Source organism: Homo sapiens, chromosome 5 (assembly GCF_000001405.40).
Source record: "Homo sapiens chromosome 5, GRCh38.p14 Primary Assembly".
Classification (NCBI taxonomy): Eukaryota; Metazoa; Chordata; class Mammalia; order Primates; family Hominidae; genus Homo; species Homo sapiens.
The window spans coordinates 167,794-191,374 of NC_000005.10; the positions used below are offsets into that span (position 1 = coordinate 167,794).

The window sequence follows — 23,581 nt, forward strand, 5'->3', positions numbered from 1 at the left end:
GTGGCCCCACTCCAGCCAGCTCATGAAACAGAGCCACCAGCCTAAGCGTCCTGCATTTGTTTATGGTGTAAAAGTACTTTTGGATGCTTAGCATGTTTTTTAGTGGTAATAAAAAAATTAAAAAATACCACCTGATTTGGGAAGCCCAGTTTGGGCCTCTATGATCACAGCACTGCAGTTTTGCACGGGAGGTACCGTCTGGCCAAGCTGACCACACTGGCCAGCCCACCTCTCCACTCTCTCAGGGCAACACGAGTGGATCCTCTGGGTCCTGCCCTGCCCTGGGGATACGGAGGTAGTGAGACTTCGGGCAGCCACAGAGGAGCCCACATCTCCTGCAGATGTGTGTGTTGTCAGGAAGGGCTCTTCAAAGACTCAGAAGTGCTTCAGAGGCTCACCCCTCACGGGAACAGTGCTCCTACAAACCCTGCTTGGCAGCCCCTCCTCAGGACGCTCATTCAAGGCAGGGAGACCCCAGCCAAGGGTGGGGCTGAGGGTTCCGTGGAGGGCCATCCCTGGGGCCTAGCCTGCTGTTGTCCACCTCTGGGCCGTCCTGCGCCCCCGGCCTTGCTCTCCGGCCACTGCAGCCCCCGAGTACCCCTGAAGCTGCTCCTTAAGGTGCTGAGCCCCTTGGGTCAGGAGTAACTACCATGGAAGCTGACCCTCGAGAAAACCTCCTGGTCAGTCAGCAGTGGGCAAGGATCCAAAAGCCGTTTTCTCACGAAATTTCCACCACAGCCTTCCTTAGCAGAAGCGTCACTGCTGGAAGTGTTTGAGTCATCTCACCGCTAGAATGAAACCAGCTGGGAACGAGAAACCTTATGTTCAGAGTTTCAGTTAGGAAGCCTGGGAATCTGTCTGTCTTGGTTTCCAAAGGGATCTTTCCTCTGAAAAGGCCATGATCAATAATGTGGAAATGTTTCACCTGACAAGTTTCTTTTTGAAATATAGTCCTTATCTTTTCAAGTTACTGTGTATCAAGAGAGCAGCTCCAGGTAACAGGGAGAGAATGAGTGGAGGTGCAGGTGAGTCGCTCCTTGCTGAGGATGTGCAGTAGACTGGAAGATTATTCTTTTTTTTTTTTTTTTTTTTTGAGACAGAGTCTCACTCTGTCACCAGGCTGGAGTGCAGGAGTGCAGTGGCGTGATCTCGCCTCACTGCAGCATCCGCCTCCCAGGTTCAAGTGATTCTCCTGCCTCAGCTTCCCAAGTGGCTGGGACTATAGGTGCCTGCCACTACCCCCAGCTAATTTTTGTATTTTGAGTAGAGACGAGGTTTCACCATGTTGGCCAGGCTGGTCTCGATCTCTTGACCTCGTGATCTACCCGCCTCAGCCTCCCAAAGTCCTGGGATTACAGGCACGAGCCCCCACGCCTGGCCGGAAGCTTTTTTATCGTGCATCCCACATGTGCCCATGTGCCTCCAGTCCACATGTGACCCTGCTCATCCCTCCGGGTTTTCATGTGTTTCTGTCTCAGGCATGAATTGCTTTTAATAAAGTGTCCGTGGGGGGCCGTGTGCCCCCCGGGATCTCTGTGTCTTCCAGCAGCCGACTGAGGCACATCATGGCCGAGATGATCGCCACAGAGAGGGAGTACATTCGGTGCTTAGGATACGTCATTGACAACTATTTTCCAGAAATGGAAAGAATGGACTTGCCCCAGGGCCTTCGAGGGAAGCACCACGTTATTTTCGGCAACTTGGAGAAGCTCCACGACTTCCACCAGCAGCACTTCCTCCGGGAGCTGGAGCGCTGCCAGCACTGCCCCTTGGCCGTGGGCCGCAGTTTCCTGAGACACGTAAGTGCAGGCCATGGCGTGGGTGCCGGGCAACGTGGTGGGTGAAGCCGGTGTCAGAGAGGCGGGGCCTACAGGGCCCACGTGTCAGGCGGTTGGAATAGCTTCAGTCCAGGTCTAGGAGCTGGTCCTGACAGGATGTTAAGACCAGCCGAAAAACAGATGCCCCACACGGATAACCTGTGGGTCTCCAGTGCTCGGTGCTTTGCGCGTGGTGTGACCGACTGTGTCCCTGCTGCCCCTGGAGGCGGAGGCTCACAGACACCATCACACCCATTCTGCCAGCAGCCCTTCTCCTTTACCACTTCCAGCTGATAGGCCAGAAGCAGTTCCCAGAATCACCTTCCGGGGAGAGGCCAGGCCTCACCTCTTCACACGCCCCCTGCCCCTGGATGCCCCATTACCTGCCAGAGGGACCAGCCTGTCCCGTTCTGAGAATTCCCTGTGAGGCTTTCAACTGGAAGCACGTTGAATGTACAGACCCAGTGGTCTCTCCTCGTAAGTTGCTTCTCAGTGATGAATGTGGAATCTCTCTGTTTGAGAGTCTTTAATAAAGTTTTTAATTTACTCTGGAAAGAAACTGACAGGCTTTCAACAGGCATTCACTGAGTGCTGTGGGCAGATGGGATGTATGTCCCAGACCACTGAGCACAGATTATCACAACGAAAACAGCCGTGGACAAAAGAAGCGCATGTTACATCTTTTCAGTGTTTCCTTTTTTTTTTTCTTTGAGATGAAGTCTCGCTCTGTTGCCCAGACTGGAGTGCAGTGGCACAATCACAGCTCACAGCAGACTCCGCCTCCCGAGTTCAAGTGATTCTCCTGCCTCAGCCTCTTGAGTAGCTGGGACTACAGGCGCCGCCACCACGCCCGGCTAATTTTTGTATTTTTAGTAGAGATGGAGTTTCACCATGCTGGCGAGGCTGGTCTTGAACTCCCAACCTCCTGATCCACCCGCTTCAGCCTCCCAAAGTGCTGGGATTACAGGTGTGAGCCACTGTGCCCAGCCTCAGCATTTTCTTAAAAGGTGCTTTTAGACATAAAGTGCAGATTCATATTGACCGTGATTGTGGCAATTTTAAATGTCTTGACAGCTTTAGCTCTTGGCCATGGACCAAATCATTCCAATGCCCCCCACGCCCTCCCAGGCCCACTGCCAGCTGCATCCTCTTCCCCCCTCAACCCCCTGGAGTCTGTGTTTTAAAGACAAATTACAGAATTCTCAGCATTGAGGCTTCAGCTGGTAAACTGGTCACCCCTGGAGCCCTGGTGTTGGGGATACTCTGATAGTCTTTAATGAAGGGCCGAGTCTCCCTTTCACCTGATCATGGTACAAACTGCACCTGGGGGGTCTTGGGACGGGAGCAGTTCCAAGTCTGACCCGGGCTGCGGGAGCCTGCTGTCTCTGGGCCTGTCACTCCCACAGCCAAGCAGTCGCCTCTGCTTTTCCAGGAAGAGCAGTTTGGGATGTACGTGATCTACAGCAAAAACAAGCCGCAGTCGGATGCCCTGCTCAGCAGCCATGGCAACGCCTTCTTCAAGGTCATCCCCCTCGGCCCGCCCCCCACAGCCTGCCCGGCCCTCAGCCAGGCCGGAGCTGACCCTCTCACCCGGCCCTTGCAGGACAAGCAGCGGGAGCTAGGTGACAAAATGGACCTGGCCTCCTACCTGCTGCGGCCCGTGCAGCGTGTGGCCAAGTACGCGCTGCTACTCCAGGACCTGCTCAAGGAGGCCAGCTGTGGCCTGGCCCAGGGGCAGGAGCTGGGCGAGCTCCGAGCCGCCGAGGTCGTGGTCTGCTTCCAGCTGCGTCACGGCAATGACCTGCTGGCCATGGACGCCATCCGCGGCTGTGACGTAAGTGCCTCAGACGCTGGCAGCTCAGGCAAGCTGGGGGAATTTGAGGCTGCTGGTGAGAAAGTCTTGGCCCCAGCAGCACACTTTTCTTGGTGATGTGCTGGCAGATTTGCCCCGGAGAAGTCCCTCAAAGCACAGCCTTCTGAAGGCCGCAGCGGGGGCCACCTGGAGGAGGGTCTTACCTGTCTGGGCAATGTCAGGGAGCAGCCAGGCTCGAGGCCCCTGGAGCCCCAGGGTTTGACAATGGCTGGCAGATGTTGGCTGCCGTTCTACAGGACATGCAAAGCAGGCTGGCTCTGAATAACTGGAAGTCTGCTTACCTGGGCTGTATTTAAAACAGGTGGACGTGAGCGCTGCACCCCAGCCCTCTGTGAGAAGGCACTAGGGCCAGGGCGTGGGGCTGACCTTGGCTCGTTCATACGGGCCCGCGGCAGCTCACCCATATGCTGCTGCCCGCGACCGGCTGCATGGGTCTCATCAGGCCCCTCTGCGGGGGTTGTGCAGCTCAGTGTAGTGAAGGCTGCCCTGGCTGCCCCAAACCCCAGATGCCCAAAAGGCCACGGGTGAGCTGAGAAATGGCCGGTGCGTGGGGGCGCTGGCTCCACTCTGGCCTGGGATGGGTGACACCCCAATGGCAGAGCAGGGCCGTGGAGGGTGGGACCCCACATGAGCTGGAAAAGGCAGGCCCATCTCGGGCCCCCAACACCGACGGAATCGGGGCTGCTTCTAGGAAGTGGTATAGTCAGTCTTCCTGGTCACTTGTGTGGAGGCGCCTCAGGCTGTCCCAGCATCCTCAGCCAAGGAGCCCTAGGGGCGTCCATGGGATGGAGGTCATGGGAGAGGCTCTGCCAACCGTGCCCGTCATGCGGGTAAATTCCACTAGGGGAGGGACAGCCTGGTGGGCACGGCGGCTCCATCTCTGGGGGCTGCTGTCTCCTCTGACCCAGCTTGAAGGGATTTCTGTGGGGACGAGGGAGGAGCTGTCGGATTCCCAGGGGCTATTTAGTGAGGGGGACTCTAGCACCACCTCAGCAGGGAGTTCCATCAAAATGGACGCGAGGGCTTTGAAGAAGAAAGTTCCATAAATCGCAACAAGGTTTACCTTGTGATCTCTGCACGTATGACCCGGGAACGGGGGCCGGGGTGGGGGTGTGGGACGCTCACCCCCTGAGCAGGGCTCCTCCCCTGTGTGTGGGCCCAGAGGGTCAAACGGGAGGGTTGGGGGGAACTGGGTGAGTTCCTGAGCTTTTAGATGTGATGCTGCAGTTTCTATCCTGATGCTCTTTGAAACCTTTAACAGCTAACATTAAGGCGGATTTGCCAGATTTTATGGCAGTTTGGCTGCTGTTCCGTCTTGTCACGAAGCTAACACATTTAGACGGAGACAGTGACCTGTGCCACCACAGACGCCGGATTTTCTTGGATGAAATCCACCTGTGTGTTCCTCTGCAGGTGAATTTGAAGGAACAGGGGCAGCTGAGATGCCGGGATGAGTTTATCGTTTGCTGCGGGAGGAAGAAGTATCTGAGGCATGTGTTCCTCTTTGAAGACCTCATCCTGTTTAGCAAGACCCAGAAGGTGGAGGGCAGCCACGACGTCTACCTGTACAAGCAGTCCTTCAAGGTAGCACCCGCCCGGTCCGATTGGGTGCAGGCCGAGCCAGGCCCTCCAAGGGGGTCTCGGACCCTTGTCTCACCTAAGGCCAGCAGAGGAACTGGGAGGGAGTGAAGCGGGGAGGAGCCGCACTGCGATGTTTGTTTTCTGCGGTTCTTGGGTAAATTCTTGAAAACGTTAGCCTTCCAAAAGCTGCAAGGAGAAGTGTGTCTTCTCCAGTCCCATGTCCAGTCCAGGGGCTGAGAAACAAGTGCCTACTCAGTCAGTAACTGCATTTTGGATCCTGTGCAGAGGTGAACACAGGGACAGGCCTTCCCCTGGCTCTCGGAGGTGCACAGGGAGGGCTTTGCTGATGCACCACGTTGGGCAGGTTCCCACTTGTGACTCGGCTGTGCTGAGGGAGGGGAGGTCCCTCCCTTCTTGACAGAGTCCATGAGGGTGCATGGGCTCACACACAAGCAGCCTCACAGACTCATGCATAGCCTTGCACACTCATGGACAGCTGTCCTTCACATTCAAGCACTCTCCCTTGCACACTGTTAAGCAGCCTCACACACCCATGAGCAGCATTGCACACAGGGACAGTCCTGTACAGTCTCCTTTGCACGCTCACAAGCAGTCACTCACGAGCAGCCTCACACACACGGACAGCTATCCTGCACACAGGCACTCTCCCTGGCACGGTCACAAGCAGCCTCACACACTCGTGAGCAGTGTGGTCTCGCTCACCCTGACCCATCCCACACATTTGTCATTTGGTGTCTGGGTGAAGTGACCTCCAGCACTGAGGAATTTGGGTAGCCAGTTGTTCAGAGACCATGTTCCTGATGGTGCTGCAATGGGTGTTTGCTGACTGCAGACGGCCGAGATCGGGATGACAGAGAACGTCGGGGACAGTGGCTTGAGGTTTGAGATTTGGTTTCGCAGGCGGCGGAAATCTCAGGACACCTACATTCTCCAAGCAAGCTCGGCAGAGGTCAAGAGTGCATGGACCGATGTCATAGGGAGGATCCTGTGGCGGCAGGCACTAAAGAGCAGAGGTGGGAAGATGGGGGCCGCAGGGCCTGCCAGGCTCAGGGGCACAGCTAGGGGCAGGGGTCGGGGCTGGGACTGGGGTGAGAGCCAGGGGCTGAGTCCAGGGGCCAGGGGGCTGGGGGCCAGGGCTAGAGCTGGGGCTGGAGCTGTGGTCGGGGACTGAGTCCAGGGGCTGGGGAATGGGGGCTGGGGCTGGGGTGGGGGCTGGAGACTGAATCCAGGGGCCAGGGGGCCAGCAGGGCCGGGGTGGGGGCTGGAGACTGAGTCCAGGGGTCGGGGGCTAAGGCTAGGAGTGGGGCTGGGGTGGGGACTGGAGACTGAGTCCAGGGGCCGGGGGCCAAGGCTAGGAGTGGGGCTGGGGTGGAGGCATGGGTTGGGAGCTGGGCTATCAACCTTAATGCTGAGATTCAGGCGGTATGATTAAATATTGAGTTCACTTGAGCACAAAGTCTGAGGATGGCCAACTGGGAGGATACAGACTTCAAAGGGATGGGGTCATTGCCCCGAAGTGGGGAGGTTTAAGGGCCATTTGTATAGGCACGGTCTGGGGAAACAACAGGATCACATCATTTTCTATACAGGGTTGGTGCACAGTTATAGCAGTTTGGTTGGCTGCAGTCAGCGTTTCTTTTTTGGTAAGGGTGAGGGGTATATTTCGCATTCCACGTTAGGGACAGAATAGCCAAGGGTCTTCTGTCTCAGGGCTCTCTGGTCTGAGCCAGGAACAGGGAGGCAAGGAAATCTCTAACAAAAGGTCAGAAATGAAGGGGCTGAGCTCCGTGACTCGATCTCCAAAGTCAGTCTCTCTAAGGGCCTAATCACTCTGAGGAGCCTCCAGTAGCCGCACTGTCCATTTTCTTCCCCATGGGCACCCAAGAGGCCCACCCGGTCTGGGGCACCTGGGGGCTCCTCGGTCAGCACTTGACAAGAAAGCTCTTGGATTGGCCCCGACAGCACTCACACACGTGTCTCTCGTGTCCACAAGCGAACATAAGGCACTGCGGCAACCCGAGAGAGTCCCCCGCAGGTCTGGTTCCATGTTTAACCCTCTGGTTGACTTCCTGCCCCTGCCCTGCTGGTCTGGCCCCCGTGGCCCTGGGAGGCTGAGCTCATGGTCAGCCCTCAGTCTTCCTGCAGGTGAGAGGGCCCTCCCCAGAGCACTCATTCCCCACCCTAGGATCCCTTCCCCAGGCCTCCTCCCTCAATGTCCACCCTCGTTTGCTCCCCCCACCGACTTCTTCACTGAGGGTGACTCTCTGTGCTTATTCCTCCAGCCTGGCGGCTGCGAACACCACCTTCACAGCAACCACCCCCCACCCCAGACCTTCTCCCACACTGAGCTCCAACTCCAGGTCCTGCCCCAGCACCTCACGAGTAGCCAAAGCCACTGTAAACCCAGCTGTCCCTCTCTACCCTACAAGCCCACCCTGGCAGCTCTGGCCTCTCAGACCTAAAACCCAGGCACCCAAGCTACAGACACGACCAGGGCTCCTGCACGGCTGCACCCCGCCTGAGCCCTGACCCCTCCAGGCAGACACGACCAGGGCTCCTGCACGGCTGCACCCCGCCTGAGCCCTGACCCCCTCCAGGCAGACACGACCAGGGCTCCTGCACGGCTGCACCCCGCCTGAGCCCTGACCCCCTCCAGGCAGACACGACCAGGGCTCCTGCACGGCTGCACCCCGCCTGAGCCCTGACCCCCTCCAGGCAGACACGACCAGGGCTCCTGCACGGCTGCACCCCGCCTGAGCCCTGACCCCCTCCAGGCAGACACGACCAGGGCTCCTGCACGGCTGCACCCCGCCTGAGCCCTGACCCCTCCAGGCAGACACGACCAGGGCTCCTGCACGGCTGCACCCCGCCTGAGCCCTGACCCCTCCAGGCAGACACGACCAGGGCTCCTGCACGGCTGCACCCCGCCTGAGCCCTGACCCCCTCCAGGTGAAGCCACCACCTCCCCACCGGCCCCTGAAACACTCCGGAGCCAGCTCTGTCAGACACAGGGGGCCCCATGGCGTCGCCACAGGCTCCCCCTCTGGCCCCCAGCCTCCTGGCTACTCCACACCCCCGTGGGCTTCACCCCTGTGCAGCCCCCAACAGCAGTTACTTGGCCAGAGGCCTCACCTCCGAGATGCCACCATCCTGAAGAGCCTTCCTGGCCTTTTTCCTTCCTTTGTAACCCACGGTCCTGCTTCCTGTTTGGGGTCTGCCTGACTGTAGTGCACAAAGTCTCCCTGGGGTCGATCTGTCCATTTCAACCCCTCTGGTGTTCCAAGCACCTGGAGCCTGCAGGAAGTAGGCCCTGCCAGCCTTGAATAATCAGATTCAGAAAATAGAACTAAGTTGATTCAAGCGCAAAGCATGAGAATGGCCGCCCCAGAATGCAGCCTCCAAAGGGACGGGGTCCGTGCTCGCAAGTGGGGAAGCTGAGGCTTCACTTACAGAGACAGAAACGGTTGCAGCCAACTTGACAGCAACTTGATTACTACAGGTTGCTGCATTCCAAGGAAGATTGCTTTAACATTCTGTGAGGAGGCGGAGGCTTGTTCTGAGAGATTCTTATCTCTGGTGCTTCCCGGTCATCCCTGACCATTTACCAGAAAAAGCAGAAGGTGCAGCTGATGCTCAGAGACTCGGCATTGCTGGGTTCCTCTCAGGGTTCAGAATAACTTACAGTTCCCACAGCGTTGAGTTCAAATTATTTAGTTTCACAGCCTTCCTCAAACAGGGTCAGGTGGGCAGCTGAGCACAGGGTACGCACACAGGACTCTGCCTGGGCCTGGGGCTGTGGGGCCTGGGCCACAGAGCTGACCAACCTCTGCAGGTACAGCTGGGTCACCTGGAAAGTGGAGCCTAATGCTTTTCAGGTGTGTCTAGGACCTGGCACCCCCTCCCCATTGCGTCATTGGTCACTTAAGGCCTCTTGACTTCTCCAGTTTTGCCAGGGATTTGCCAAATTAGTCTTCTCAGAAAACAGAATTTTGGTTTAATTGATTATCTACACACTTACTTTCTATTTAATTAATTTCTACTCTTTGTTATTTTCTTGTGTCTAACTTTTTCAGTGTTTCATTTGCTTTTCCTTTCTACCTAATTTCTTGAGGTGGATGCTTATATCATTGATTTGAGCCTTTGTTTTGTTCTAGTTTTTGTGCCGTATTTAGGACTACAGGCTTTCCCCTAAGCCTGGCTTTAGCTGCATCCCAGAAGTTTGTATATGTCATGTGTCTATTCACAGTCAGTTCAGTATATTTTCTAACTTCCACTTTAATTTATTCTCGGACTCATCATAGGTTATTTAGAAATGTATTACCTAATTTCCAAGATTTTCTAGTTAACTTTGTGATACCAGTTTTGAGTTTAAGACCACTTTGGTCAAATAATATACACTAGAGTTTGTTGTCTGTGGAAGGTATCCGAGTGACCGGCGGCAAATCTGTACAGGTCTGCAGCAACCTCAGTTCTTACCTCCTCCGAAGAAAGAATTTGACTGAGGGATGTAAGGCAGAAAAAGAGACCCAGGCAAGTTTCAGAGCAGGAGTGGAAGTTTATTTAAAAAGGCTTTTAGAGCGGGAAAGAAATGAAAGCACACTTGGAAGAGACCCAAGCGGGCACCGAGATCGAGTGCCCCATTTATCCTTGATCCTAAGACTTTCTGGGCCAGCCCCTTTCCCATGATTCTCCCCTTAGGCTGGGCTGCCCGTGTGCACAGTGCGCACCTTTCCCTTGGGATGTGAGGATGCGCCGTGTGCTTAGGAAGTTGTACGCATCCCCATCTGAGACTTTCGTCCCTTTTCTGTTGGGGGAACGTGAGGATGCCCTGTGTGCTTAGGAAATTGTATGCATCCCCATCTGAGGCTTCCCTTTTCTGTTGGGGGAACGTGAGGATGCACCGTGTGCCTAGGAAGTTGTAGGCATCCCCATCTGAGGCTTTCGTCCCTTTTCTGTTGGGGGAACGTGAGGATGCCCTGTGTGCTTAGGAAATTGTATGCATCCCCATCTGAGGCTTTCTTCCCTTTTCTGGTGGGGTCCCCCTAAAGGTCACATTCTACCATTTTGTCTCTTAATGCACAAAGTTGCTTCTCCTGGCACCTGCCTTCAATTAACACTTTAGTGCAGCAGGTGTGGACCATCAGGAAACGCCCTCTCCCTGGCACTGGCTCCCAAGGTGCCACTTTTAGAGAGACAGTGCAAATATGCCGAGCCATCACCCGACATTCCCAATGGGTGGGGGAGCCTCTCCTGCCCTGCTCATGCCTGTCTAACTACCTGTAACAGCTTCGATTATTTGAAATGTTGTATATCCTAGCATTTTGGTAAATTTTCCATGTGCACGTGAAGAGAAAGTGTGCTTTGTAGTTGTTATTGCAGAGTTCTGATCATGTTTTGAAAATTGTGTTTTTCAGATTTTTTATATCCTTATTGGCTTTTTGGCTGCTTATCACTTACTAGGAAAATTATGTGAAAATCTCCCATGATGATGTAAATTTGAATTTGTCTATTTTTCTTTTTGTTCTGTCAATTTTTGCTTCCTATGTTTTGAAGCTAAATTAGTAGGTGCATAGTAATATAGAATTGCTATATCTTCCTAGAAACAGAGCCTCTTTGATCATAATGAAATGCATCTCTTTATTTTTAGCAGTGCCTTTTGCCTTAGATCTACAGTTGTCCCTCTATGTCCATGGGGATGCGGTCCAGGACTCCCCCACGGATACCCAAATCTGCAGTTGTTCAAGTCGCTGATATAAAATGGAACAGTAGTTGCATAGAACCTACACACATGCTCCTATATACTTTAAATCATCTGTAGATTACTTATAATCCATAGTACAATGAAAATGCTTATAAATAGCTGTTATATTGGTTTTTTATTTGTATTTTTAACTTTTATTGTTAATTGCTTTTTGTTCAAATATTTTTGATCCTTGGTGGAACCTGTGGATATGGAACCCACTGATACAGAAGGCCAACTGTGCTTCCTATTAATATAGCTATTCCAGTTTCCTTTTGCAAAGTTAGTGTTTACACGACACATACTTCTCCATCTTCTTACTTGGAACTTTTGGTGTTCTTATATTTGAGATACGTCTCTTGTAAAAGGCATATGTTTGATTTCACTTTTATCTTTTTATCTAGTTTGACTAACCTTGTCTTTAAATTGGAGTAGTGTGTTTACATTTAATGTAATTTGGGTATAAATTGAGTATCTTACTCTTTGTTTTCTACCTATTTGGTGAGAACAGGGGAGTGAGAGAGGAGGGGAAGGCCATGGAGGGTGATTGATGGGCAGGTCCTTGCACACACCCTCTGGAAGACAGGCACACTGAGGCACTGTCCCACATGCTGAGGGACCCCCACATACTGAAGGACCTGGGTGTTTTTCTGCCAACTCCTGTCCCTCATTGTTGAGGCTCCTCCTGGTGTGTGAACCACCTGATGCTTCTGTCCCATCCACAGGAAGGCGGGGAACACCCCCCAGGCAGAGAGACCTGGGCAGCCACCGCCATGAATGAGAGCTCTCTGGCTGTCCCCAGGCCAGCTATGCTCTGACGGCCAAGCGTGGTGGTCCTTGCCTGTGTCCGAGCGTGGGGTTAGTTCTGGAACATTTGATCACTTCTCCTGCTCCACTCTCTGCACTCCACCTGGAACTCCCGATTACACGTATGACCCTTTTACATGTTCCTATGTTTCTCGTGTGATTTCTATGTTTCGATCACGTCTTCCCTGCTTCTGTGTGTTTTCCACTCATCTTAAAGTTCATTGATCTGCTTTGCTATTAAACTCACTTATTTCATTATTGGTTTATTTTTGATATGTAGGTTTGTGTTTGATTCCTTTTATTTGATGGATTTCGGTTTCCTTTTGAGACTCTCTATCCTGTGATCTACTTCCTGCCACATTAATCCTGGTTACCTCCACGGCCTGTCTGAGACGTCCAAACCTTTATCTCGTGGATGTTTAATTATCTGGGGTTTTCCTCAGCCTTTCCTCATTTTGTCCTTTCTCTGGGTGTGCCTGATAATTTTTTTATTAAGTAGTAGATATGATGTAGGAAATGTGTAAGGATCATTTGAGGCCCGGGCTGGTGTCTTCACCTCCAGAGGATTTATTTTTGTTGGAAGAGCAGGGGTGGTTCATCTGAATGCACTCCGGGGAGGGACTGCATGAAGTCCGCCTCAGACCTTTGGGCAGCTGATCCAGCTTCCGTTTGTCCCACTCCTGGCAAAGTCCATGCTCCCTTTTCAGGTCCCCACTGAATGTCTGGGAGTTTCCCAGGCCCTTCCTCCCAGTGGTCCTTGAATTCCAGATTTTATCTCCCCACCCTGTGCGTTTTCAGAAGCTCTCAGCCTCCAAGCTCCAAGATGAGCTCTCTGCTCATCGGCCACCAGCAGTGCCCTGAGGGGTAGAAAGGTGTCAAGTTTCCAGTGGCCTGTGAACGCCACATCTGCCCAGGACATTGGCCCTTTGAGGCTAGATTGCCTTGTCACCTCCAGAAAACCTTCAAAAAGTGTGTCCAGCTTTTCTGGTTGTTCTTGGCCGTGGGCTTGGATGTAAGGTACACGAGCAAACCCACTGCAGCCAGAGCAGGAAGCTGTCCCGCGTCCACGTGCACAGCTCTAACCCTAAAATAGCCTTCGGAGTTAGGGGAAGAGCAATGTCCTGTTCACTGCCCAACTCCAAGCCCTGTGTCCCGGGCAGCCACACTCAGCCCTTTCCCTGCAAGAGGGGACACTCGCTCTTGATAAACCAGCTTTGCACATTACCTATTGGTGAAGATGATCAGTAACTCTGTGACTGTAGCACACACACACCGCACTTCTTCCCGTTCTCCCAAGACCTCTGGAAAACAATTCTTACTATAATATTCTTCAGCATAGGCATTAGGACTACATACATGCAATTATGTTTTCTGTCCTCATACATTTTCCTTACAATTAATATCATCTTTTTTCTTTGCTTAATTTGACCAAGAATAAGTTCATTCCCAAACTCTCACCTTATGCTTAGCTCTCCTCTCAATATTCAAACTCCTAGAAACCTGTTGTTTTGTCTTTCCCATGGACACGGCTCCCAGGCCTCTGACCCCTGCTCTAATTGGGACCTGCTGTGTGGCCCTCCCTTGCTTACCAGCTGACAGGAACCCTTCCTCACCCCCAGGTTGGACACGCCGTTTCCAAGGCCTCATGGCTTCCTTTTTCTTGGTTACTGCCTCGGGCTCCCTGGGAGAGATCTCTTTGGTGCCGAAAACCGGAATGGGAAGCCTCAGCACCCTGGCCCCCCATGCCCCTCGTGGGGCAGGGTGGGTATACCCTGTACACCCTCCTGGTTTGGGCTGAGGGCATTAGGGGTACCGGGCGTCTTTGGGGTGGCATTAGCCCCCGAGTTGCTTTGGAAACTGTCATACTTTCTTCTGTCTTAGAACTCAGAATCCAAGAAATGGCATCCATGGGTATAGGCAACCAGCCATTCATGGATGTCAAGCCCAGAGACCGGACCCCTGACTGTGCAGTGATAAGCGACCGGGCTCCCAAATGTGCAGTGATGAGCGACCGAGTCCCCGACAGCATCGTCAAGGGCACAGGTACGGTGGCTCGGTCCCGCCCTCACTCACCCTGCAGAGGGCACTGGGCCTGTCATCAAGGGCATGGGTACGGTGGCATCGGCCCCACCCTCACTCGCCCACAGAGTGCACCAGGCCTGTCGTCAAGGACACGGGTACGGTGGCCTCGGCCCCGCCCTCACTCATCCTGCAGAGGGCACTGGGCCAGTGGCCGACATGGTGGGTTGGATGGGCATGACTGCAGTGGCAAAGCCTGGTCGGCCTTTCAGACGGCTCTGATCCCATTCCCGAACCTGGGCTGCACTTCTGGAGCGGAAGCCAGCCTGACGTGCTTTCTGTCCCTTTCCAGAGTCACAAATGAGAGGGTCCACAGCGGTGTCCTCCTCTGACCACGCCGCCCCCTTCAAGCGACCACACTCCACCATCTCAGACAGCAGCACCTCCTCTTCTAGCAGCCAGTCCTCCTCCATCCTGGGGTCGCTGGGCCTGCTTGTGTCCTCCAGCCCAGCCCACCCGGGCCTATGGAGCCCTGCCCACAGCCCCTGGTCATCTGATATCAGAGCCTGCGTCGAGGAAGATGAGCCAGAGCCAGAACTAGAGACGGGCACCCAGGCTGCAGTGTGTGAGGGGGCTCCTGCTGTGCTGCTGAGCCGCACACGCCAGGCCTGATGACTGTCAGGGTGGCAGTGCCCATCATGTGGCTAGAACAATACAGAGGGAGCAGCACGCCAGGCCTGATGACTCTGGGGGTGGCGGTGCCCATCGCGTGGCTGGAACGATCCAGAGGGAATAGCACAGCAGGTGTCCAGGTATTTCCCAGGATTTTAGACATTCCCTAACATTTTCAAACAAATTTATAATTTTGTCTTATTTAAAAAACAAACCTTCCACTTCCACCCAAGACAACAGCATAGGAAACAGACCTAAAACAAGACAAAAAAAGACTAAACATGAAACAAAAGATGTCAAGACACAAGACATTTGGCAACAAAGGACCGCGATCCCTGAGAGACAGGAAAACGGGAGGTGAGCCCGGTGATGGCCTCAGACCTCCCTCCGCCTTGAGAGTTTGCAGGCCTCAGTGCAGGGAGGGGCCCAGGAAGAGCCCAGCAGCCTCCGTGAGTTGAAGAGACCAAGTCAGCAGGAGTTGGCAGGTCAGAGTGCCAGAGAGAGATGCCTGCATGGGGAAAGACTCACCAGATCAGCCCCTCCAGCACCTAGTGGGTTGCTACCCATTCGCACACTCAAACAGGGAGGCTACCAAGGCTGGGAGCAACCTTTGAAAAGACCAAAGATCAATTCCTGGTACTCATGTGGGCTGGGGACAGGACCCGTTCCCACCAGCCAGACTAGGGAAACTCTCAATAGATCAATTCCTGATACTCATGTGGGCTGGGGACAGGACCCACTCCCACCAGCCAGACTAGGAAAACTCCCAATCTGTGAGCATTAGGTGGAGTTCTCAGAAAATCTTGCCTCAGGAATGGGGATAATTAGCCCTAGACTGAGCCCTGCTCCTGACTCGCCTACAAAATCATAAAAGCAAGACCTAAAATGATCAAACCATTCCCAGATAATTCACTTTATCCCAGAACAAAGCTCCAGATGATCTAGGGGTTACCAAAGTGTCCACACCCTGCAAGGTAAACTCACAGTGCCTGACCTCGGAGTGCCAGGCGTGCAGAGGAGCAGCCAAGGGCAAACACTCCAAGGAGAGTCGCCTGGCAAAGCCAACCACCCAGAGCCAGCGTCTGTGCTAGAATCACAGAATTCAAACTGTGGCTGAAATCGCAGCCCAGGCGTCCAGAAAGTTAAAGTTAAGAACCTATAATCCCAGCACTTTGGGAGGCCGAGGCAGGCGGATCACGAGGTCAGGAGATCAAGACCATCCTGGCTAACATGGTGAAACCCCGCCTACTAAAAATACAAAAAATTAGCCGGGCATGGTGTTGGCCGCCTGTAGTCCCAGCTACTTGGGAGGCTGAGGCAGGAGAATGGCATGAACCCGGGAGGCGGAGTTTGCAGTGAGCTGAGATCACGCCACTGCACTCCAGCCTGGGCGACAGAGCAAGACTCTGTCTCACAAAAAAGGTTAAGAAATGACTTAATGGAAGAGATTCAGAAGACCCAGACCGACCTTACAGGGATGAGAAACTACAATATTGACAGTGGAAACTATCCTGGATGGGGTAACAGATTGGATTTCACAGAAGAGACCATGAGGCACCTTGAAGACACATCAGTGGAAACTATTTGCATTTGTTGGGCCTCCAGAGAGACAGAACCAATAGGAGATAGCTAGATATATATACAGACAGATAGATAGATAGATAGATCGATAGATAGATAGATAGATAGATAGATAGATAGATAGACTGACAGACAGATGAGAGGGGCCTTAGGGGCATTGGCTGACACAATTTTGGCAGGTCAAGAGCCCCACAATAGGCCATCCACAAGCTGGAGACCCAAGGAAGCTGCTAGTGTGCCCAGTCCGAGTCCTAAAGCCTCAGAGCCAGGGAAGCCAGTGGTGTAATTCTCAGAGGCCAAAGGCCTGAGAACCTGGGGGCCACTGGTATAAGTCTGAGTCCATAGACCCAGTGAACTCCAAACACAAGAGATACGAGTGCACATCATAATCAAATTGCATATAACCAGTGATAAACAGAAAATCCTAAAACCAGTCAGAGGACAAGGGCATGTTCTGTTGGGAGGCACAAAGCTGATGAGGATGGCTGACTCCTCAGGAGCAGCATGGGTGAGAGGCAGTGGAATGTACTAAGGAGAAAACTGCCAAATTCACATTCTGTACCTGACAAAATCTTTCCGAAGCGATGGTGACATAAAGACATTTTCATACACACAGAAACTAAGAGTTTCATCCCCAGCAGACCTGCACTACAAGAAATGTTAAATGATGTGCTTCAGGGAAAAGAAAAATGAAGAGCATGTGCACCATCCAGGATTTTCCTCGTTATTTAAATCCCTTTAGCCCATCTCCCATTTGCCCCAAGGAATGAGTGCTGGCAGTGAGCTGCACTTTTTTTTTCTCTAAACGGGAAATGGGTTAAAAGATGAGTGGCTTGGCCGGGTGCGGTGGCTCATGTCTCTAATCCCAGCACTTTGGGAGGCTGAGGCCAGAGGATCACTTGACTTGAGCCCAGGAACTGGGGGGTCATGCTGGGAAACATGGCAAGACCGCATCTCTATTAAAAATAAATAAAAGTTAACTGACTGTTTAAACAAAAGTATTAACGTATCTGCGGTTTGTACTATACGCACAGGTAAACTGTGTGACCACAGCAGCGTGATGGCTGGGAGACGCTGGATGTGATACGTGAAGTGAGGGGTATCACTTGAAGGTAGATTGTGGTAAGCTAAAGATGTACTGATAAACCCTTGAAACACCCACTAACAAAGAATTACAGCTAATAGACCAACAGAGGAGATAAAATGGAATTTTTAAAAATCCAGTCCAAAAATACGTAGAGAAAGAGGGAAAGGGAAGAATGGACTTGGGGGCGACACAGAAGACAAGTGGAGAGAGACTGAAGCAGCCACTGGCCATCACAGCAAACACAAGCAGGGCGCAGGACGCCGGCAAGCCACAGACAGGCCTGCTCTCTGAATTGGTGACCACATGAGTAACTTCACGGGTCTGTTCTATGTCCAGAGTTGTCAAACTGCATGCTTTAAAGATGTGCAGTGGATCGTATGTCGCTTAAATCCCAACAAAGCAGTATTTTTTTAAAGTACAATCATGCACACAGCACTTCCCCTGGGAGGCAGGGGCTGTGCCCACAGAAGTCGTTACCTCTGCGTCCTGAGTATGGACAGCCACCATCACACAGCCCCAGAGGCCGCCCAGGCTCTAGCCACACTCTGGCACTGCCTGGGACAGGTGCCCTCAGGAACCCAAATGCCACTGCCCCCGTGAAAGCCACTTCAAGCGTGTTGCTTCAAATCAGAAGGCATCTACGCCTGTGGAAGAGGAGGCTGCTGGGGGCCCAGGTGTGCAGGGGGCAGGGCCAGGTGCAGGGGCACAGCTTATGCCTGTGGCCAACCCACTGGGGAGCAAGGCTGGGGATATGCCCAGGCCAGCAGGGCCAGCAGGAGTGACTGCGCCATCCTGAACACGTCCTTGGGCCTCCCAGGACCTTGGTGCCTCCCATCTGGGCTGGCACAAGCCTCCAGTCAAAAGATGGGTCTCTCTCTCCTGATAGCATGGAGCCTGGATGTGGGAATGGAGCCACACCAGCCCCACGGGAGCCCCACGACCCATCGGGCTGTGGGATGCATCCCCACGGCCGGGACCCCTCAGCCTGTGACTTGGTCTGGGCAGATGCAAAGGCCACCCTGCAGGGCTGAGGTGTCTGTGGGGAAGGAGGTGCCCAGCCCTGGGAGGCCATCTTGCTCCTGCTTTTTATTTAACCCATGGGGCTCTTTGGCCTCATTTTCTGTTTTTTGAGTTTCTCGTGCACTCCAAACTGTCCTGGAGCCAGCCCTGGTGTGAAACAGAGGCTTCCTGCTGGCAGAAGAGGCCCACCGAGTTACGTCCACACCAGCTGGCCCTGGGCACCTCTCTCTCTGGCCTTCTGTCCACACTGGGATTTGGCTCTGATTTCCAGAAGGCAGGGTTAGGAAACACCTGTTTCCAGGCAGAGTAATGCTTCTGTCTGAATCAGGCCTCATGGGCTTCACCAGCAGACACGAAGGTTTCATTTAGATGGCGAACACGTGTTCTCATTTCTCCAGGGTTCTGGACCCGTGAGCTGAAGCAGGTGCTGAGAAGTGGGAGAGGCGGCCACTGGGTCCCTCAGGGTCACTCACCCCGCCACGTGAGGCCACTTCCGCCCAGCACTGGGGGCGCTGGGAGCTGAGGGGCCCACAGGGGACGTGGGAGACAGCCCCGATGCGTCCCCATCCGCAGTGACGCTAGCGCGGAGTCGTCGCCAAGCACGTGGAGGGACAGCCCTGGAGCCCTGGCCTGGCCCAGCATCTCCCAGAGTCACTTCCTGATGCCTCCCCAGCCCTGCCCAGGAAGGGTTTGTGGCCACAGCCCCACAGCGGCCCCCTCGCCTCGACCACCAGTGCCTCCTTCCAAGCTGCCTGAGCAATCCTGGGTGGTGAGCTCCACCACTCCCACCCACGCCTCAGCACTGGGACCCCCCAGGGATGGTGTGGGGATTCCTGCCCCCCGTCCATGCCTCAGCACTGGGAGCTGGGAAGGTGTGTGATTTCCTCCCCCACCTCAGTACTGGGACCCCCAGGAAGGGTGTGTGGCCCCACCATCCTGAATGCTCAGGGCTGGTGGTCAGCGAGGTGGTTTCTAAACCAAGCCCTGGGAGGAGCCATCCTGGGACTGTGCTTGGACAAGGTTGGGGCTCCCGCAGTGAGCTCTAGCCCTCCCCAGGACCCTCCCACGGCCCCAGGGTGCCGGCCTTCAGATTGACCCCATTCGTGGATGAGTCTACAAGGCTCCCCAGTGCCCAGCAAGAGTGTTTTTACATTCAGAGGTGAGGAAGGGGTGCCGGCATCTGCCCCAGACACAACCGGGCAGGTACAGATGTCATCCCCTTGAGGACAGCAGGGAGGCGACTCAGGAGAGGCTGATCAGACGGGAGCCGCATCCCCATCACCTTCCAGAGAGACCTCTTCTTTTGCCAGGTGTCGTGAGGGCTGTGGCTTAGCTGGGCCTGCGTCCATCCCCGGTTCTGGGGAGATGCCCGGGCCCCTCCTGGATGGCAGCAGCAGTGGAGGTTTGGGTTTTGAGGGAGCCCTAAGAACCTGAGAGACTTAGATGGAGCATGGCACGCCCTGGAGAGTCCACGTCCCCAGACCCCTCATGCCAACACCATTCCACCCAGCAGTTTCTTCCCTGTGGTCAGAACAAAACCCCCAAGCCTCAGGCCTCAGGCTGGTTTTCTGACAGGCAAAATGCTCCTTACATAAGGAAAGACCTTTCCTTGGCTGACCCTAAAGTAGCCAAGGGGAGCTCACATCGCCTGGCCTGCCGCCACCACCAGGCTGCCTGACCAGCTCACCGCCTTGTTCTAGATGCTTCTGAAGCAACAGCTCGCCTGGCCCCACCCCCATCAAGCATCTGCTGGGCAGCCTCCCTCCCCGGCCCGCCTGTAGCTCCCAAAGGTCTCAAGCCTCAACATCCTGGTAACCAAGTGCACCCAGAGGGCTGGCAGGGTCACATGGAGGCAGGGGACCCTTGGCCCCAGGGTGGTCGTCTTCCCAGGAGGTCCGCCTGTCAGGTCAGAGGGCAGCAGGAGGCCACCCCACCTCCCCGGGTTCCCTCGAGCATTCCTTTGTCAGGAGCAGCTCCCCCAGGATCCAGGCATCCCTGGCCCCCCTTTGCCCCCGCCCTGCTCTCAGGAGCCCCCTGCCAGGTGCTCTGACCACAGGAAACAGGAGCCCTCAGGGCCACTGCCAGAGGACGGATTCTGCTGCCAACCAGAGGTCCTGGGGCTGGCGGCGCTGGTGTGCCTGCCCTGGGCCTTCAGCAGCCCCCATAAGGAGAAAGCTCCAGCCTCCCGTTCAGAGAAGGCTCCATCCTGGGGACACGCCTCTCCCAAGGTCACCCACGTGGGGGCTTTGTTACTCATGCTTCCCAGACTGCGTGCTGTGTCAGAGTTTTCACACCTGCCTGATGTCCTGGGGGGGCTCACAGAGGACCGACCCTGCAGGGAGATGCTGACCCACCCTGAGACCCAGGAGAAGAAAACGGCCAGGGTCCAGGCTGCTCCCACCATCCCTGGGGGATTAGCACCTTGGCTGAGCCCGAACTGACCACCTGGGGCGTAGGTCCAAGATTTAATTACAAAACGATAGGTGAATGTGGGTTCTGTGTGCCTGTGACATAGAGAATGTTTTCCACACCGCGTGTGAAATGACGAGAGCTTTTGTGTCACACATGTAGCTGCTACGAGACAGACGCTCTTGTTCCGGATCAGAGCAGCAGACAGAACCGGCACTTTTAGGGTCCAAACCCTGTTGCCCACAGAACGCCCATGACACCAGCTGGGTGGAGCTGCCGCCGAGTCCACGCCCCGTCTGGCTGGGACCTGGAGCTCCCCTCAAGCTGCAGATCCACTCTGCACCACAAGGTGGCCTCGCAGAGGAGCCTCCCGAGCTTTGGAACCAGAGGCAGGCTCAGCGATGCTCTCCATCCGGCCTGGCCCCACCGTGTGTATCAGGTGTCAGAGGCCTTGCTGGGTGCCAGGCCACGTCTGTGCTGTCACAGCTTTGAGGGGCCAGCGGGTCCTAGGGAGAGGCCCGTGCGACGTGAGTAACAGCAGTTTTTCTTCTGACAGCTGGGATGGAGGTGGGTCCTCCAGGGAGTGCCCCAGTCCTCGAGAGCCAGACTTGTGCACGGGCCTGGAAATGAAGGTCTCAGGCAGGGGCTGCGCACACCGATGGTCAGCATTGCCGTTCGGGGCCTGCAGTCGCCCATAATGGGCCCTGCCCCCTAGGCCTGGCCTCTTTTGCTTTCCTCCTGGATGGTTCCTCTACCCCTGGTCCAGCAGGGACTCAGCAGTGCCTGCCAGCTGCAGACCCCCATGCTCCTGCAGCCTGGAACCCTCCTGCCCTCCAAAGGTCATGGGGTGACCCAGGGTGGGAACACCAGACCCCCTCACCCCGTGTCCACCGCCCATGGCCGGGCTCACAGTGTCTCAGAGCCGTGGTGAGCCATCCTAGGACCAGTGTACCTCACAACCTTTCAGACCAGTGAAGGCCAGTGGGCTGGGTGGTCCAGGCATGTCCCCAACGCAGGTCCAGCCATCTCTGCACAGAACTGGAATCTCGGTTCATTTCGGTTTCAGCAGGTCCCATGTAGTTAGCAGGACAGCACTTGAGTTAGGTCTGAGAAAGAACGCCTGTTTGTCATGGCATTTCCTGTAAGGAGCCCAGAGCCGTGGCCCCAGGTTGGGACGGCGGCGCCAGAGCTGGGCCTGAGTCTGACCCAACCTGTGCTGAGTGGTCCTGCTGGAATGGGAACCCCAAGAGGACCACCCCTCTCTAAAAGAAGGGAAAACAGTAAGCGAGAGGGAGGCTGCAGGGGCCCAGACCTTGGCTGACCTTCCTAGCCATGGTCTCCACCCTCCGAGACCCAGGGGCCCCGCAGTGACAGCAGGGTGTTGGGCCACACAGAGCCCGAGTAGGTAAAGGAAGGTTCTGGAAACCACTTTTCAGAACCCAAAAGGTGTCTGGGAAATGGCGTTACCTGCCACTGTTGTTAAGTGTTTACTTTGTATCAATACTGAATTGTTAAAAATTTTAATCATAAAAACCAATGGAACATGTTTTTCTACTGTGTCCTTCGAGATTCTCTTATCTGGTCCTGGAAAGGGGCCGTGTGTCTGGGGAAACCTCTTGTGCACCTCATGAGGGGAGCCCGGGGGCCCACATCGGCTGGCCGAGGGCGGCCACCCCTGAAGGGTGGGGTCAGGGCCCACCCACCTCTTCACACACACCTCCGCCTGCTGGACAGTGCCTGGGCCCCACAACGGAGCACAGTCCCTTCTGCATGGGTCGCCTCCCGGGGAGAGGCATTGCTCAGGCTCAGGGAACAAACTGGGGAGGGTCAGACAGGGAGGCTGGTGGGGCACCCATGACCAGCACCCTCCAAGCTTGCTCAGCAGCCTTCCCCCTCCCACTGCTGTTTCTCTTTCTGTCTCCCCGTCTGTCTGTCTTTCTCAGTCTCTGTCTCTGCCTACCAGTCTCTCTCTCTCTCTCTTAGTCTCTGTCTCTCCCTTTCTGTCTCTCTCTCAGTCTGTCTCTTTCTGTTTCCCTTTCTCTCTCCCTCAGTCTCTGTCTCTCTCCCTCTTAGTTTCTGTCCCTCTGTCTCTGTCTCAGTCTCCGTCACTCACTTCTCTCAGTCTCCCTCAGCCTCTGTCTCATGGCCGTGACCCTCCAAAGCCCATGGACACGTGGTGCCCTGTAGTGATGTGTGCAGTGATGTGTGCAGCGATGTGTGCTGACCCTGCCCTGAGTGGCAGTGTCACGGGGAGAGGTGAGTGCAGCACCCATCAGCTGTCCAACACGGTCAGTGCTGGGAGTGAACCATCAGGCACCGCCCCCCAACACAGGTGTATCCCATTCCCTGCAGCTTTCCCTGCCGCACAGGCGGCAGGGTTGCAGACAGGACACTGCAGCTCAGAGAGAGCTGGGGGCTCATCCGAGGCCATCAGGGAGGCTCCACCTCTCCCAGCCACTCTCTCCCATGGAAAGTAGGGAAGCCACCCCCGCCGGGTCCTTGGGGAGAAGGAAAGGCACAGGGAAGGGGCAAAACAGCAGCTCCATTCCTGGCCACTCGTCTCACCCCAGATGCGAGGCGAAGTGTGGGAGCGGCCCCAGAGGCCACTGTGGAAAGGGAACTGGTTACCGAGTGAGGCGCAGGGGCCTGGCCTGTTCTCTGCCCCGTTGACTGGTGGGGGAGGTGCCCAGAGCTGGGCAGTAGCCCCGCTTGGATGGTAAACAGGACCTGCCCGCTGGCCTCACCGGCCGCCAGCACGAACGCCTGCCAAGACTGGCTTTCTGCAGCATGGAGCACAGGCTTCTCTGCCCAGCCCTGCCATGGGCACGGGCTGCCTTTCTGTGTCGGCTGGGTGCCTGAGCCAAGCAGCTCCCAACGGCTGGGTGCCTGAGCCAAGCAGCTCCCAACGGCTGGGTGCCTGAGCCAAGCAGCTCCCAACGGCTGCGTGCCCCGAG

General features: G+C 55.1%; 1 protein-coding gene across 1 annotated transcript in view, besides 9 other annotated features; it reads left to right on the forward strand.

Annotated features, from left to right (window-relative positions):
* The window catches only part of PLEKHG4B (pleckstrin homology and RhoGEF domain containing G4B), a 97,799-nt gene extending 75,626 nt beyond the window's left edge, over positions 1-22,173 (forward strand). Inside the window, exons 14-20 of the mRNA NM_052909.5 lie at positions 1,547-1,799; positions 3,250-3,339; positions 3,421-3,651; positions 5,104-5,274; positions 6,125-6,305; positions 13,721-13,882; positions 14,211-22,173. Coding sequence (NP_443141.4) covers positions 1,547-1,799; positions 3,250-3,339; positions 3,421-3,651; positions 5,104-5,274; positions 6,125-6,305; positions 13,721-13,882; positions 14,211-14,530 — 1,408 coding nt within the window. The 3' untranslated portion in view covers positions 14,531-22,173. The remainder of the gene's footprint in view (positions 1-1,546; positions 1,800-3,249; positions 3,340-3,420; positions 3,652-5,103; positions 5,275-6,124; positions 6,306-13,720; positions 13,883-14,210) is intronic.
* Positions 1,249-2,448: an enhancer, noted in NCBI's record as "MED14-independent group 3 enhancer chr5:169157-170356 (GRCh37/hg19 assembly coordinates)". NCBI's record gives its function as "activates an origin of replication core promoter dependent on BRD2, BRD4, P300/CBP and CDK7 cofactors, and independent of MED14, by STARR-seq in HCT116 cells {active_cell/tissue: HCT116}" and the evidence as "EXISTENCE:reporter gene assay evidence [ECO:0000049][PMID:35650434]".
* Positions 2,937-3,450: an enhancer, noted in NCBI's record as "H3K27ac-H3K4me1 hESC enhancer chr5:170845-171358 (GRCh37/hg19 assembly coordinates)". NCBI's record gives its function as "activates a minimal SCP1, AML or CMV promoter by ChIP-STARR-seq in primed H9 embryonic stem cells {active_cell/tissue: H9 hESC(primed)}" and the evidence as "EXISTENCE:reporter gene assay evidence [ECO:0000049][PMID:30033119]".
* Positions 3,451-3,964: an enhancer, noted in NCBI's record as "H3K27ac-H3K4me1 hESC enhancer chr5:171359-171872 (GRCh37/hg19 assembly coordinates)". NCBI's record gives its function as "activates a minimal SCP1, AML or CMV promoter by ChIP-STARR-seq in primed H9 embryonic stem cells {active_cell/tissue: H9 hESC(primed)}" and the evidence as "EXISTENCE:reporter gene assay evidence [ECO:0000049][PMID:30033119]".
* Positions 13,968-14,468: an enhancer, noted in NCBI's record as "H3K4me1 hESC enhancer chr5:181876-182376 (GRCh37/hg19 assembly coordinates)". NCBI's record gives its function as "activates a minimal SCP1, AML or CMV promoter by ChIP-STARR-seq in naive H9 embryonic stem cells {active_cell/tissue: H9 hESC(naive)}" and the evidence as "EXISTENCE:reporter gene assay evidence [ECO:0000049][PMID:30033119]".
* Positions 18,301-18,595: a silencer, noted in NCBI's record as "tiled region #15179; HepG2 Repressive non-DNase unmatched - State 10:DNaseD, and K562 Repressive non-DNase unmatched - State 20:ReprD". NCBI's record gives its function as "represses a minimal TATA promoter and a strong SV40 promoter by Sharpr-MPRA in HepG2 and K562 cells {active_cell/tissue: HepG2 | K562}" and the evidence as "EXISTENCE:reporter gene assay evidence [ECO:0000049][PMID:27701403]".
* Positions 20,682-20,861: an enhancer, noted in NCBI's record as "active region_22268". NCBI's record gives its function as "activates an Ori minimal core promoter by ATAC-STARR-seq in GM12878 lymphoblastoid cells {active_cell/tissue: GM12878}" and the evidence as "EXISTENCE:reporter gene assay evidence [ECO:0000049][PMID:35858748]".
* Positions 20,821-21,115: an enhancer, noted in NCBI's record as "tiled region #11960; K562 Activating DNase matched - State 4:PromP". NCBI's record gives its function as "activates a minimal TATA promoter and a strong SV40 promoter by Sharpr-MPRA in K562 cells {active_cell/tissue: K562}" and the evidence as "EXISTENCE:reporter gene assay evidence [ECO:0000049][PMID:27701403]".
* Positions 21,162-21,301: an enhancer, noted in NCBI's record as "active region_22269". NCBI's record gives its function as "activates an Ori minimal core promoter by ATAC-STARR-seq in GM12878 lymphoblastoid cells {active_cell/tissue: GM12878}" and the evidence as "EXISTENCE:reporter gene assay evidence [ECO:0000049][PMID:35858748]".
* Positions 23,367-23,416: an enhancer, noted in NCBI's record as "active region_22270". NCBI's record gives its function as "activates an Ori minimal core promoter by ATAC-STARR-seq in GM12878 lymphoblastoid cells {active_cell/tissue: GM12878}" and the evidence as "EXISTENCE:reporter gene assay evidence [ECO:0000049][PMID:35858748]".